Raw genomic sequence first — 13,681 nt, 5'->3', positions numbered from 1 at the left:
ATTGCTTGAGCAGATCTGGCTTGAAAAATTGGAGCGGGGGCTGGTGGATAAGGGACAGGGGAGTCTCTGTGAAAACATATGAGGTGATGTGGTTCACGGTGTAAAAAAATGCATCCTTTTCTTGTTGTTTGGATCCAGTCCTCTATGAGGATTCTCAGTTCTCATCTCTGGGCTTCATTTAATTCTATTTCACAGATTTAGAAATGTTGGCCCCGTGGCATGTTTTAAATAAACCAAATAAATGACTGAGCAAATGCTACCAGATTTGTTCTTTGTTCTTCATAATCTCAAAATTCTGTGGAGCCTTGAGAGCTTGAGAAATTGCCTCAGTCCTGGGATTAAATGAAATGACTACACTCATCTTACAAAGATTTTTTTTTTTTTTTTTAAAGTATGTTTGGGTGTGCCAGATTAGAATATGTACATTGCTACATATCTGTTCTTTCTTAGGCAAAGTTTCGTTTTAAGTATGGGAAGTGATTTTTATTTCCCATCTTTCTTTTAATTGTCATAAAATCACATAACAAAAAATGTACTGTCTTAACCATCTCTAAGTGTACAGTTCAATAGTATTATATAGATTCACAGTGTTATGCAACCGATCTGTAGACGTCGTTTCATCTTGCAAAACTGAAACTCTCACCCATTAAACAACTCCCATTTACCCCTCCCCTTAGCCCCTGGTAACACTGTTCTACTTTCTGACTGTTCTAGATACCTCATATAAGTGGAATCATACAGTTTTTATCTTTTCGTGACTGACTTATTTCATTTAGCATAATATCTTCAAGGGTTATCTATATTGTAGCATGTGACAGGATTTCCTTCCTTTTTAAGGCTGAATAATATTCCATTGTATGTATATACCCCATTTTGTTTACCCACTCATCCTCTGATGGACACTTGGGTTGCTTCTACCTTCCAGCTATTGTGAATAAAGCTGCTATGAACATCAATGTGGGCGTATCTCTTCTAGATCCTACTTTCAATGTTTTTGCATCTATACTCAAAAGTTCCACTTTTGAGTAAGTATAATGGTACTTACTCAGGTTGTGGAAACCGGAAAAGTGGTATTTGCTTTTGGGTTGGAGGTAGTATTCCTAACTGAAAATTCACATCAGTGCCTCTGCTTTCCCATCTTGTGCCTTCGTGTCTTTAAGTTGGTATCAATGAGTTGAACTTTGGCTTAGTTTTCTCCTTTGAAGATGGTACACCATTTCCAGCAATATCTTATGATTATTAGGAAAGATAGCCTTTCTGAGACCATCACACCTCCTCACTGATGACCACCCGCCATATTGAAAAGTGGGATTGGGTAGGATAAAGGGGGATTTTGTGACTTGTTGGGTTTTAGACAATCAGATTGATTCAGAAGCAACATACTTACTTGTATTCTGGCTTTGGCTAGCTAAAAATTCCCCACTAGATGTGTCTTCCAGAGAGAGACCCCTAGATAGTTCATATAAGCTAAGCTTTGGATTAAACTCCCCTGCTTGATTTGCTTTTAGAAAGGATCCTTCTGGACTCTTGCCTCCCCTTGAAATTTCCCCCATGCAACAGGACTGACTTGGGTTAGAAGGCTGAAATGCATTAAGTCGGGAGTCTACTTGTGGATTCATCCCTTTAATCATTCGTTAGAAATTTTGATGCTAAAGAATTACTTATTACACATTTTACAGAGTTGGAATTTGGTCATTAATAGATAACTGCTTATCTTAATAAAAAATCAAGATATTTGGGACCTTCCTAAGGGAGTTGAAATAATGCTCCCAAATGTTAAATCCCTTATACCTTCCCACAGAAGCAGCAAATATTTTAAGCAGTAATAATTTAAATATATCTTTTAAATTATTATGTCTTTTGCATTATCTCTTCCTAATGAGAAAAGGCTAAAGGCAAAAGAGGAGCTGAATTCTCTCAGCAGCAGGTTATAGAAAGCCATAGTCTCTGAAACTGGTTGTAGCACGTTGTCTCAGACTCCTCCGTCAGTGAGTCCTCAGGGAGCTGCCGTCCAAACTTTAGGACCCGGCCATCCTGAAAAGCCACAGCACTGATAGCTTTGTAAAGACTTCAGTGGCATGGGTTTTCAGGTATCCAAAGAATTACGGACGTTAAAAAAAAAAAAAAAAAATCCTACCCTCAACTAAAAATGACACTTAGGGCAGCTGAGAAGGTCATTCTGATTATCTGTACCCTCTGATTTTGGTGTCTGTTTAGAGCTTCGGTGTCTGATTATAGCTTTGGTGTCTGATTATAGCTTTGTGCTGTTAGCTGCGCGTCCTGAAGCTGTGACTGGGAAATACCCATTTCTAAGAGCAGTTGTTTTGAAGGGTGAATCCTGAATTATAGCAACACTCAAGTAAGGCAGAAGATTGTATCTTTCAACGGCATACTGGTTCTTGAACGCATTTGGAGGATATGCCCTTTTAGAAAGTATTTGTTCAGCCCTTGGGAAGCTTTGACAAATCTGGAAACTTGCTATGAACTGCGTGCCGTCCTTTAGTGCTTTGCCCACTTGGCATAGACGGCTTGAACGTGCCAGGGTTTCTTTGTCAGACCCTCTGTGAATCTTTGATTAGAACACCAAATACAACCAGATCCCCGGTAATCGTTAGACCTGAGAGACCCAGGGGGCTGTGGAATTTTGGCTTAGGCTAATGAAGCTACAGGGACTTTGGTGGAAGTGTAAAGAAACCCTGAATGATGCTTTTCCCATGTTCTTAAATTACCCAAATTGTAAGGAAGAAATACGCATTGAAAGCTTCAAACATAAAATATTTCATTACAGTATTTCAATATAGCAATTGAAATAGGTTGTAGGGGTTTTTTCCCTTAAATAATAGTTCACTTTTGTCACCAAAAACAAAATGAAGAACTTAGTCACATGGGCGTGGTCAAAGTATTATCTTCCTCTTTGACTCCTTGCCAACAAACAAAATGTTATTTCATTAGCCCCTCTAGGCAAGATGCTGTGCCAGTTTCTCTGAGGTGTGGCTGTGTTGGGTTAGAGAAAGGGAACTTTCCAGAGAAAATATAAAAATCCTCCAGCATTCAGTTCAAAAACACCGATTGGTTACCAAACAGTTACCAAATTGCCTGCTTGCTCAGGCATTTTTAGAAAAACAGAAGCTGCTCAAAAAGGTGGGGTTTGTTTGTTTGTTTGTTTGTTTTTTCAGAGACAGGGGTTTGCTCTGTTCCCCAGGCTGGAGTACAGTGGCACAATCATAGCACTGGAACCCCAAACCCCTGGGCTCAAGCAACCCTCCCACCTCAGCCTCCTGAGTAGCTAGGACTACAGGCACACACCACCATACTTGGCTAATTTTTAAATTTTTTGTAGAGACGGTGTCTCACTGTGTTGCTCAGGCTGGTCTCAAACTCCTGGCTTCAGGTGATCCTCCCACTTTAGCCTCCCAAAGTGCTGGGATTACAGGCACTGTGAGCCACTGTGCTTGGCCTGCTGCTCAGAAAGTTTTGTACAACCCTGAGTAGTTCACACTCAAGGAGTTGTGATTTCTTATTTGGGAAGCAGGTTAGGACAACATGGCTCAGATAATAATACCCAGTACTTAGGATGTGCCTGGCACTGTTATAAGCACTCAGCACCTAAATAACTCATTTAATCCTAAGTAGGTTTTATTATTATCTCCACTTACCAGATGAAAAAACTGAGGCACAGCGGTGTTAGGAATTTGTCAGGATCCAAACACAAGTGGTCTGAGTCACGTGCATTTTCTTAGCCACAGGTTGCACTGCCTCTCAGAATTTTAAGTCGATGTTCCATCTCTTGCTAGCTGCTAGACCACTTTACTTCTGAGTCTCAGTTTCCTCATCTGTGAAGTGAAACTATGGATGATGATAAAGATTCAGCCACAGCACTGTTTAGAATTTAGACATGAACTGCCCAGGCATTTAATGCTTTGCTTTCCTAATATAGATGGCTTGAACATGCCAGTTTCAAAGGAATACATGTTTAGAAAAGAACTAACAATAGAACTCAGTTCCTAGTGGATTTCAACTATCACTCAGGATGGAGATATATTGGACTGAGTCACAAGTTTTCAATCAAAGAAGGTGTGTGAAGGTGTGTGTTTCTGCATGGTATGGTTATTTGTTCTTAGGCCATTATTTTTTTAAAGAGCTCATTTTTATGATATTGGGTGAAATATTTCCCTCACTTACAGGCATGGGGTAACATATCTTGTTGGGAGTATGTGTGTGTGTATATATGTATGTGTGTGTGTTGCTAAAAGTGATTTACTACAGTATGTGTGTTATACTTCAATAAAATTTTCCTGTGAAGAAAAAAGCAACACAGGAAGAACCGAGTTTGGATTAGACTATTTTCACTGGATTTGTGACTTTGCCTAAAATTCTTCTCTTCTAGTGCTTCCTGATGACATCTTTAATTTCACATGAGACAGTTTTTTCCCCTGACATGAAAAGGCTCTACCATTTTGCTCTCCTTATTCACTAAAAATTGTAAAGCCTATGATATGTAATTTTTCAGAAATTTTGATCAACGTTATAGCTTTTGTATCTCTAAAACTCTGTTAGGAATATTCAATCATTGTGATGAAGGAAACTTTTCTAGTTTCTTCCACTAGCAATTGATGAGTTACCAACCTAAAATAGAAGAGGAGGTAGGATGATAGGGGACAAGAAAAATTATGTCAATGCTAGTCAAGAAATGGTAGCCTTCGGACTCATTCACCTTTTTCTTATCATTTCCCTTAAGAGTCAGCAATGATTGTCTCTCATCCATCAGTTCTTAAGGCTGTTGAGTGGTTTTCCATGGGGATGCCCCCGAGTCCCCACACTCTGCTTAGCAACTTTCTATCTTCATAAAATGTAGAATCTTTCCGACACCAAGCCAAGCTCAGGCTCTAAGAGAAACAGTTTCAACAGCGTTGTCCTACCCACACACTTCTTTGAGAACTTCAAAGCTGAATGAATTTGCTTTAGGGACACCTAGGACTAGAGCTGTTTCTGTGTAACCAATCCATTACTTCTATAAAGTACCAAGTTGAATGCAAACAACTTTTATACAGATTTAGTGGTAAATAACCAACTTGAAACTTGTCCCACCACTTACTAGTTGTGTGACCATAGGCTGCTTATGTAACCTATCTATGCCCTTTTCTCTCATCTACAAAGCAAGACTGTTAATAGTATCAACATCTTGAGTTCAAGTCAATGATTAAACTATATAATGCTTGTAGTATATTTCGTGTAGTGCCTGAACATTATAAGGGCTCCATGTTCAATGAGTAGGCAACTATTCTTATGAATTGTACATGCACGTGAGTGCATATGGGTGTATATTAGGAATCCTGTACAAAATAGTACTTTGCTGAAAACAGTAGACTCTAAAGTCCTACGGAGTTGTCTGGTCTGACAGGGGTTTGTGTAAGTTAAAGGGATAAATTACTCTTGTGACAATTGAGTATGAAAATACAGTCAGTGGTTCTATCTCCTCTCAGCCACTACTCCTTGTTTCCACTGCCACTCATCTGTGATATATGGCTTGTTCTGAAAACAAATGTACCATTAACAGTAATGTCTTTGTAGGATATCAAATTAACATCAAGATGTTGGGGGTCAGGAATTAAGACTCATGTAAATGAGAGTGGCTATCATGACAGAAGACATAACCGCAGTAGCAATCATTGTAGCAACACTCTATATAGCTGATTAGATAGTATCCAGAGTTAAATGAAAGCCCATTTTCTGTGAATCCTATAATGTCCAGTAAGGTGTTAATTACCCATCTTCTGTCTCAAGCCTAATCCCTTCCAGGGGGTAAAGTTTCCAGGGGAACAGTGAACCCAAGAGCAGGGCTAGGAAGAGGTAAGTGAGCAACTTTTCTATCACAAAATTTAAGGGAGAACCAAAAAATATAGTAACCAAGATAAATAACATTTTAATACAACATTTTTATAAAATCAAAATTAGTGCAAAAAATCCATGATGACTGAAATATCAAAATTTTCATTAAAGACAAGATCTGATCCTGCACTTGTACAACCCTGCCCTACTCCCTCACCCTAATCCTGGCCTTGGTGAACCCGAATGTTAGAGAATAAATATTTTATGTTTAAGGATTTCTCTACATGAAGTCAGTATGTTTGCAGGGCAGAATGGGTGACCCAAGTGTATCTGCATATTAATGATCTAAGCTTCTTACTAGAAAGGGAGGATCAAAAAAATGTCTTTCTGTCACATATTGAAAGTATGTCCATGGGCCAGGGGCAGTGGCTCACACCTGTAATCCCAGCACTTTGGGAAGCCAAGATGGGCAGATCACCTGAGGTCAGGGGTTCAAGACCAGCCTGGCCAACATGGCAAAACCCCATCTCTAGTAAAAGTACAAAAAATTAGCCGGACATGGTGGCTTGTACCTGTAGTCCCAGCTACTCAGGAGGCTGAGGCAGGAGAATCACTTGAACCTGGGAGACAGAGGTTGCAGTGAGCCAAGATCATGCCACTGCACTCCAGCCTGAACACAGAGCAAGACTCTGTCTCAAAAAAAGAAAAACAAACAAAAAGAAAGTATATCCATGATGTTTCTGAGAGGAATAACAACAGTGGGTAAATTTTATTGAGTCCTTACTATGTGACACTCACTCTGCTAGGCCCTCCACATACATGATTTCTTTTAATGCTCACAGTAATCCCATGAAGAGAGTACTGGTATTAACCCCAAAAGGAGACTGAGGATCAGAGAATTAAGTAATTTCCTTGAGGTTACCCAGCTAATAAGTAGCCAGTGTAAGGTGAAGCTGTAACTCACCCCACAGGGTTTGAGAAATCACTCATTCTGTGTCTGAATCTTTTTAATTCAAGACGTAAATCTAGGTCAATATAGTTTAAAATGTGCTTTATGAACCCAAAGTTTGGGTGATGATCTACCAGAAAAAACTTTACAACACAATTGCATGGTTAAGGGGCTACTTGTGTGTCCTATAAGGCATGCATACAATTCCAGAAATATTCCAATGGGAATAATTTTCTTCACCACCACATGACTTTCCCTGGTAACGTGTTCCACTTTCTCCCTTGTTTTTGGGAATCTTTTAGGTTGAGAGAGGGAGAGAAAAAAGAGAAGAAAGATGATGATGATGATGATGATGATGATGATGTTGATTGCAGTGGTGGAGGTGGTGGTAGCTAACATTTATTGAGGCCTTATCATGTGCCAAATGCTGTTGTGAGTGCTTTATGAGCATGATTTCATTTACCCATCAGAAAAAGCCTATAAAAGGCTAGTTAGTCCCCATTTTCATCAGGAAACCGAGTCTCTGAGAACATAAGTAACTTGCCCAAGATCACAAACCCAGGTGGATGTTAGAGCCTGTGCTCTTAACCACTACACTGTAGAAAGAAGAATTAAGTGGCAAATTTTTAGATAAGCCTTCCAGCTTCTTTTAAATAGAGCCTTCAGATCCAGTTCAGCTGCTGAAGAAGTTCCCACCTTTCCAAGGGCCCTGTTGTCTATGATGGGCATCCTTTTGGGTGACAAGTTCAAAACCTTCACAGAATTTTCCCCAGAGGGCATATTTTAAAGGTGCCCAGGCTGTTGGGGGCTTTATTTCTTTAGTGCTGTGTTTTAGGATTAAAGTAGCTTTATTTAGCAAGTTTCAAATTAATATATTTGAATTAAAGGGAGGCAGTAAAGGAGTAGAAATTATACTTAAATACTTAGTACATGTCGTCAGCCCACAATTCTTATTTCTACAGACTTAGAGTATATTTTACCGAAAAGTTAGTGCCCAGGTGTTAGGGTAGCTCTGGAAAAGGCATATCTGAACCAAGGACTAAACAAAATAGGGAGCACTTAAAATATTTTATTAATTTCCTCCTTTGAAGATCATAACAAATCTGCTGCATTCCCATCCATCTCAAATAAAGCAAACCCGATTAATAAGCACTGTGAGCCCCGTGAGGAAGAGCAGAACAACCCAGACACCAAGGATTGTGCTGATAAATGTTTAATGACTGGCTTTCTGGGAGGGAGAAAGCCCTGGTTTGTGGCATTTGCCAATTCCCATGATGAAAAAATCCCCCACGAAGGCCTATTTCTAGCTATCAATGTGATATCCCTGAACGCGGATTCGGGAAGAGATGTGCAAGATCGGCTGTCATGACCGGCAAACACACTGCTCCATCCCTTAGGGAGGAGGAACGGAAGACAGTCCGCTCTTTCAATGCTGTGGCTATCTTGGAGAGCTGCTGCTTCCGGAGGCACTCACTGTGTGACATTGGCAAGTCACTTCACCTCTCTGGGCCTTTGTTTCCTCCTCTACAACAGATAACGTGGAAGATCCCCTGTACCTCTAACATTTTAAAGTTCTAGAAGGCATTGCCTCCTGTTTTTTCCGACATCCAAATGCCTTGAAGCGCCTTTCTGGAAAACCAAGTTAGCACTGTGCTGCATCCAAAAGTGCCTCCAATTTCATCTCCTGAGCATAAGGTTTGGAAAGGAGTGACTTACTCCCTTTTGCCTCTTTAAATGTGTAGCCAATGGGGCATCATACATTTTTTACACTTCTTTTGCTAGATGTGAGATCCAGGAAGGAAAGCATGGATGTTCCAGGGCTTTCTTGTTCTCCTGGGGTGGGAGGCTGCGTGTGATGCACTGATTCATTGCTGTATGCAATTTCTACCTCCCTATCCTTTCGGCAGCCGAGCAAGATTGTTGATAGTCTCCTACCTTTTTATTTTTATTTTTATTTTTTACTACTAGAAGCCATTTACAAGAGTGGGAACTGCTTACATAAAATGGAGGGGCGGCAGGGGGTTGCGTTATTTTATTTTTTTTTTTTTTTTCCTGAAAGGTGGCACGTCTCTCAGCAAAGAGAAAAAGGCATGTTGCACAAGGCTTGCTGGCAGTGATATAAGCCAGCGCCGGTTTGCCTGTTGTCACAGCCAAAGCAAAATGCCACCTCTGCCTAGAAGCCAGAGTGCCACACTCCTCTTTTGTGTCCCTGAGATGTACCCCTCATGAGGCCCTGGAATTGTAGGTTTGGCCAGGAGTTTGCCAGGATTGCTCGAAGGTCATCTTCCAATCCCAGGAGGCTGGGGGTAAGGGGAGGTTCATCATAGTTCTCAAAATAGATCTGTTGAGCCCCCCCCCCCCCCAGATTACATGTCAGCTACAACCAGTAAATGTGGAATTTGAGGCCTGGGGTTAGCACAAGAGAGCCCTCCAGTTGCCAGGAGTAAGGTAGGGCTGCCAGAATACCAGTGACCCAGTGATCACCCTGTCCCTGGGCCCCTTCTTAACAAGCCCAGATGCAGTGACAGCAAAAGCTCCAGAATCCCAAGGCAGGAGGTGCCAAAAACACCCCCCAACAACCATTAACAAAAAAAATTTTCAGTAAAATGTTCTCACCCCTAGAGGGGAAAACCTGTCCATGCCTGAAGCAGCTTGACCCCAGCAAACACCCTGCCTCCATGGAGTGAACTGCAAATCTCCAAAAAAAAAAAAAAAAAAAAAAAATCTACTTCCTACCCCTCCTGCTCCCTGGGGAGGGACAGAAGGTTCCTAAAACTGACAGTTTCGCCTCCATGATCTTTAAAAGAGCAGAAGCTGGCTGTGAGGCTGCAGTGCTGCCTCGATTGGGGTAGTGTGGTCTCTGTTGCGGCTGGGCTCCAAGGAGAGCCACAATTGGCTCTGATGAGGAAGGAGCCTAGAAATGAAAGATTGCAAAGAGGGCTTCTGTACGCCATGGCTGAGACTGTGTCGTTTCTTGCAAGGTGAAACTTGGCAGTTCTACCTTGCAAGTAAAAACCTAAATTAATTTTTTTAAAAGAAATTAAGTCAGAAACAAGGCTTCGGAAAAACTGTGAGTGTTAGGCATAAACTGATTTTGGATGATCTTTAGGTGAGAAAGGGTGGAGTTACCATCAGAAACATGTTTTTATTTATGCTTTTCGAATCCCCACTGGTGTGCGATGTGTGTGTGCGCGCGCGTGCATGTGCGTGTGTATTGGTTAGCGTGAGAGTATGCATCATCTCAATTCTCTAACCATTTCTTTCTTTTTTGCATCTTTTCTGTGCACAGTTCATATAGATCCCCTATAAATAAATATATAGGTCCATCCACACCTTTTCATTTTATTTGTAAATTGTTTGGTATAAGCGGCAGAGCGTAATGAAACCTGGTGAAGTTTAAAAGATTAGATTTTTTTTTATACTGACACTTCATAACACTGTTCATATGTCTCCGAGTGAGATTTATGAATATATGAGCAGTACTGCAAAATTATACTGCACCAGAGACTTCCTGCACCACAGGGGTGGCAGTCTAAAGTGACACAGCTTCAAGCATTTTTCACAGACAAGAAGCAAAATTTAACCCCCTTAAGGGGAAGTATGATTTCAACAGCTTGAAATGAGCTCATTTGTAGATGGTTTTTTTTTCTCTCATCTTCCATAATTTTTTGGTGTTAAGATTAAAACAGATTGCACAGCCAATATAAGGGCACATAAGCTGCCCAGAGTACAGTTTGGCCCTTAAAGAGAAATTTTCATTCATTGTCTTTATCAGCACTCCTCAATCAGGTAAATGAAGATAAACTTGCCCCTAAATTCCTAAGGCTCTCAGCCCAATTTCCAGTATTGTACTTAGCAGACAGGGTGTGGAATTTTCAAACGGTAAGTGGCAAGGAACATCAATTAATCCAGTGGAGAAGCCCTCATCTCTCTGGCACCAAAGACAGTGACATTAGGAAATAATTAATGTATTGAATATAAATGGTGTAAAATTAACCAATAAAAAAGAGAATCAGAAGAGCAAAAGATGGTCTGTATGAATTGAAACATAGGAAATGTCTGTCGTGGAAGAGTTCAATTAGATTCGAAGTCCTAACTGTCTTAGATTGTCTGTCTTGGATTGGTCCAGTACCCAGTACCTTGCAATTTTGTATAAACTAACTAACGTTCATTAAACTCTATGCTCTCAAATTCTCTTTAACCATTTTGTTTCCTCCTGGAACAGAGTGGGGTACTCAAACATTGCCTGCTCTCTCTCTGCCCTATAAATGCTCCATGATGTGTTGGCTGGAGAACTTTTGTCTCTTTTTTCAGCAATGGTACAACAGCTCCATGAACGTGATCTGCACCTGGTTGACGGACCGGATGGACTTACAGCTTCATATTTATCAGTTGAAAACACTAATTAGGATGGTAAAGGTAAAAGAAAAGATTATTATTCTTCTTTGCAAATAGCTTACTGAAATATATTTCACTGGCAAGCTGCAAAGCTTGCTTAACACAAAGAATATTAGTTTACATATAAAATAGTATCTCATACAAGAAAAACCTATGCAATTGTTTTGTGATGCATGATAAATGTGTTACTCAGACAGCAAAGGGAAATTTAATACAAATGAATTTGATATCTTTTTCCAGAGAGGAAAAATACTTGGTTTTGCCATACAAAAATACGGCAGAGGCCATCGTGTCCTTTGCATTAGACTTTCAAAAACTGGCTTTTGGTGTCATTATGTTAATCACATCCATTACCAATTTCATTTATAGTTTAATTAAATAAAATGTTGCCGCTATTAATTTAATAGAAATATTTACCCCCAGCTATTTCTAAATATGTCCTGTGATCATTATCAGAATGCAAATCAATATTGTTCTCATAGTTAATTGAAGTAGTTCGTCTTACAATGCGTGTATACAATCAAATGTAAAGGATCACAAAGGTGAGATAACATACCCTGAAAGTAGCTTTTTCCCTTGTTCTTGTGTGTGCACCTTGGACTAATGATAATTATTTCAGCGTGAAATCTCAGTGGTTTACATGAAATAATAAGATCACAGAAGGGGGTAAATACATTTTTGATCATTTCAGTTTCTATTTGATGCTTCACCATAGAGGGTTTTAAAACATTTGTATGCAAAAATCTCATTCAAAGCACAAAGTCCTTTAAAATATTTTAACAATAAATGTAGCTGAATGTCTATTTCTTAACAGTTTGCCAAAAGTCCCTGCAACACCCACTCCTGGGCACCCCCCCCCCCCGCCCCCACCCCGTTTCTTAGTCTCTTTTGGATCAGCACCATTTCACTTTACCCCAGTGCTGACTTACAACCAACTGCTGTTCCGTTGTGTGTAATTAAGGAGAATTATTATTATCTGCATTTGATCTCACAAAGCATCCACCCGGGAAAGGTTATAGACAGCAGTGTATTACAGCTCTTAAAAAACGAATGTATACACTTAGACTATGGACCCAGCCTCATTTTCACATTTTTTTACTTCAGTTCCTTAGGACCAGCTCAATCGTCAAGTGGTCGCCTGACCACTTGAATTCCATTTTCTGTGCATAAATGCACTTTGGGGAAATTGTCTGTTTGACCCTTATTGGGTAGACATGAAAAGAAGATATAATTGTCATACTTAAAAATTATCTTCCCATTATTTCTATTTCCAGATTGGTGTTGGAAATTAACAATATTTTATGAAGGAAAAATATAAGTCAGAGGGGAGGTTTAATCTTAGCCTTTTGCCAAAACAAAAAAAAAAAAATGTGGTATGAGCCACAGAGAAGGGATATAGAAAAGTCACTGCCAAAGGAACCCCTTCACTTTAGCAAAAAGTGGGTTCAGCTTAACTAATGCCACAACTCAGAGCTATGAAGCAGAATTCACAAACTTTAAACCAAGAACATCACCCAGAGGCCTCCTCCTCCAGGGCAAATTTCCAAGGATAATTGGCTTTCTTTCTTGCATCAACAGCCACTTCATTTATTCACCCATTCATTTATTATTCAGCAAGCATTTATTTATTCATTCAACATTGGATAAATATTAGGTGGGCCTCTACTTGTATATTACCAGATGGAGGATTCAGAAATGACTAGATGTGGTCTCTGCACTTAGGCATTGAGAGTCTAGTTGGTATACACGTTGCTATGGAATTTGAATAAAAGGGAGAATGCTCAAATGCTTTTTACCTTTATTTTCCCCCATCATATTCTGGCAACAATTATGTTATTCTAAGTGGCAACAGAACAAATGATTGAAAAGTACAAAAATTTAAGTTAATTGTGTAGATATCTGGCCCACACCATGCCTAACATTTATTCAGTCTCTTACCCGTCCCCATCAAAGTGAAAACACAGTTCAGGTAGCTGTCTAGCTTCCTCCTCTCAGCAAGACTTGCAGGTTGATGCATGATTGAGGATAACCTTATAATTTAATGTCAAACCAGATTACTTTTTTGTTATTGGACTTCAGTAAGCTGAACTGGGTTCACTCATTAACTCTGTAGTCATTACAACATGTGACCTTCAAGAGGGGTTGACATTGTGATTGTTGCTATCATGACCGCATTAGATGGACTATTAAAAATAGAAATAATGGGCCGGGCACGATGGCTCACGCCCGTAATCTCAGCACTTTGGGAGGCCAAGGCGGGTGGATCACAAGGTCAGGAGATCAAGACCATCCTGGCCAACATGGTGAAACCCTGTCTCTACTAAAAATACAAAAATTAGTTGGGCATGGTGGCGGGCACCTATAATCCCAGCTACTCAGGAGGCTGAGGCAGGAGAATCGTTTGAACCCAGGGGGTGGAGGTTGCAGTGAGCCGAGATCGATCTGCTGCACTCCAGCCTGGGTGACAGAGCAAGATGCCATCTTGAAAAAAAAAAAAAAAGAAAA

At 40.1% G+C, this 13,681-nt stretch overlaps 1 protein-coding gene across 50 annotated transcripts in view; it reads left to right on the top strand.

The window, feature by feature from the left end:
* The window catches only part of CADPS (calcium dependent secretion activator), a 477,069-nt gene that overhangs the window by 461,139 nt on the left and 2,249 nt on the right, over window positions 1–13,681 (top strand). For all 50 annotated transcript variants that reach the window (NM_183393.3, NM_001438352.1, XM_011534199.3 and 47 more), the window contains one exon: window positions 11,093–11,197. In NM_183393.3, coding sequence (NP_899630.1) covers window positions 11,093–11,197 — 105 coding nt within the window. The remainder of the gene's footprint in view (window positions 1–11,092; window positions 11,198–13,681) is intronic.

This window comes from Homo sapiens, chromosome 3 (assembly GCF_000001405.40).
Source record: "Homo sapiens chromosome 3, GRCh38.p14 Primary Assembly".
In the NCBI taxonomy this organism is placed as follows: domain Eukaryota; kingdom Metazoa; phylum Chordata; class Mammalia; order Primates; family Hominidae; genus Homo; species Homo sapiens.
Note: the sequence above shows the minus strand (reverse complement) of the source record. Positions and strands in the feature narration are given on the sequence as shown.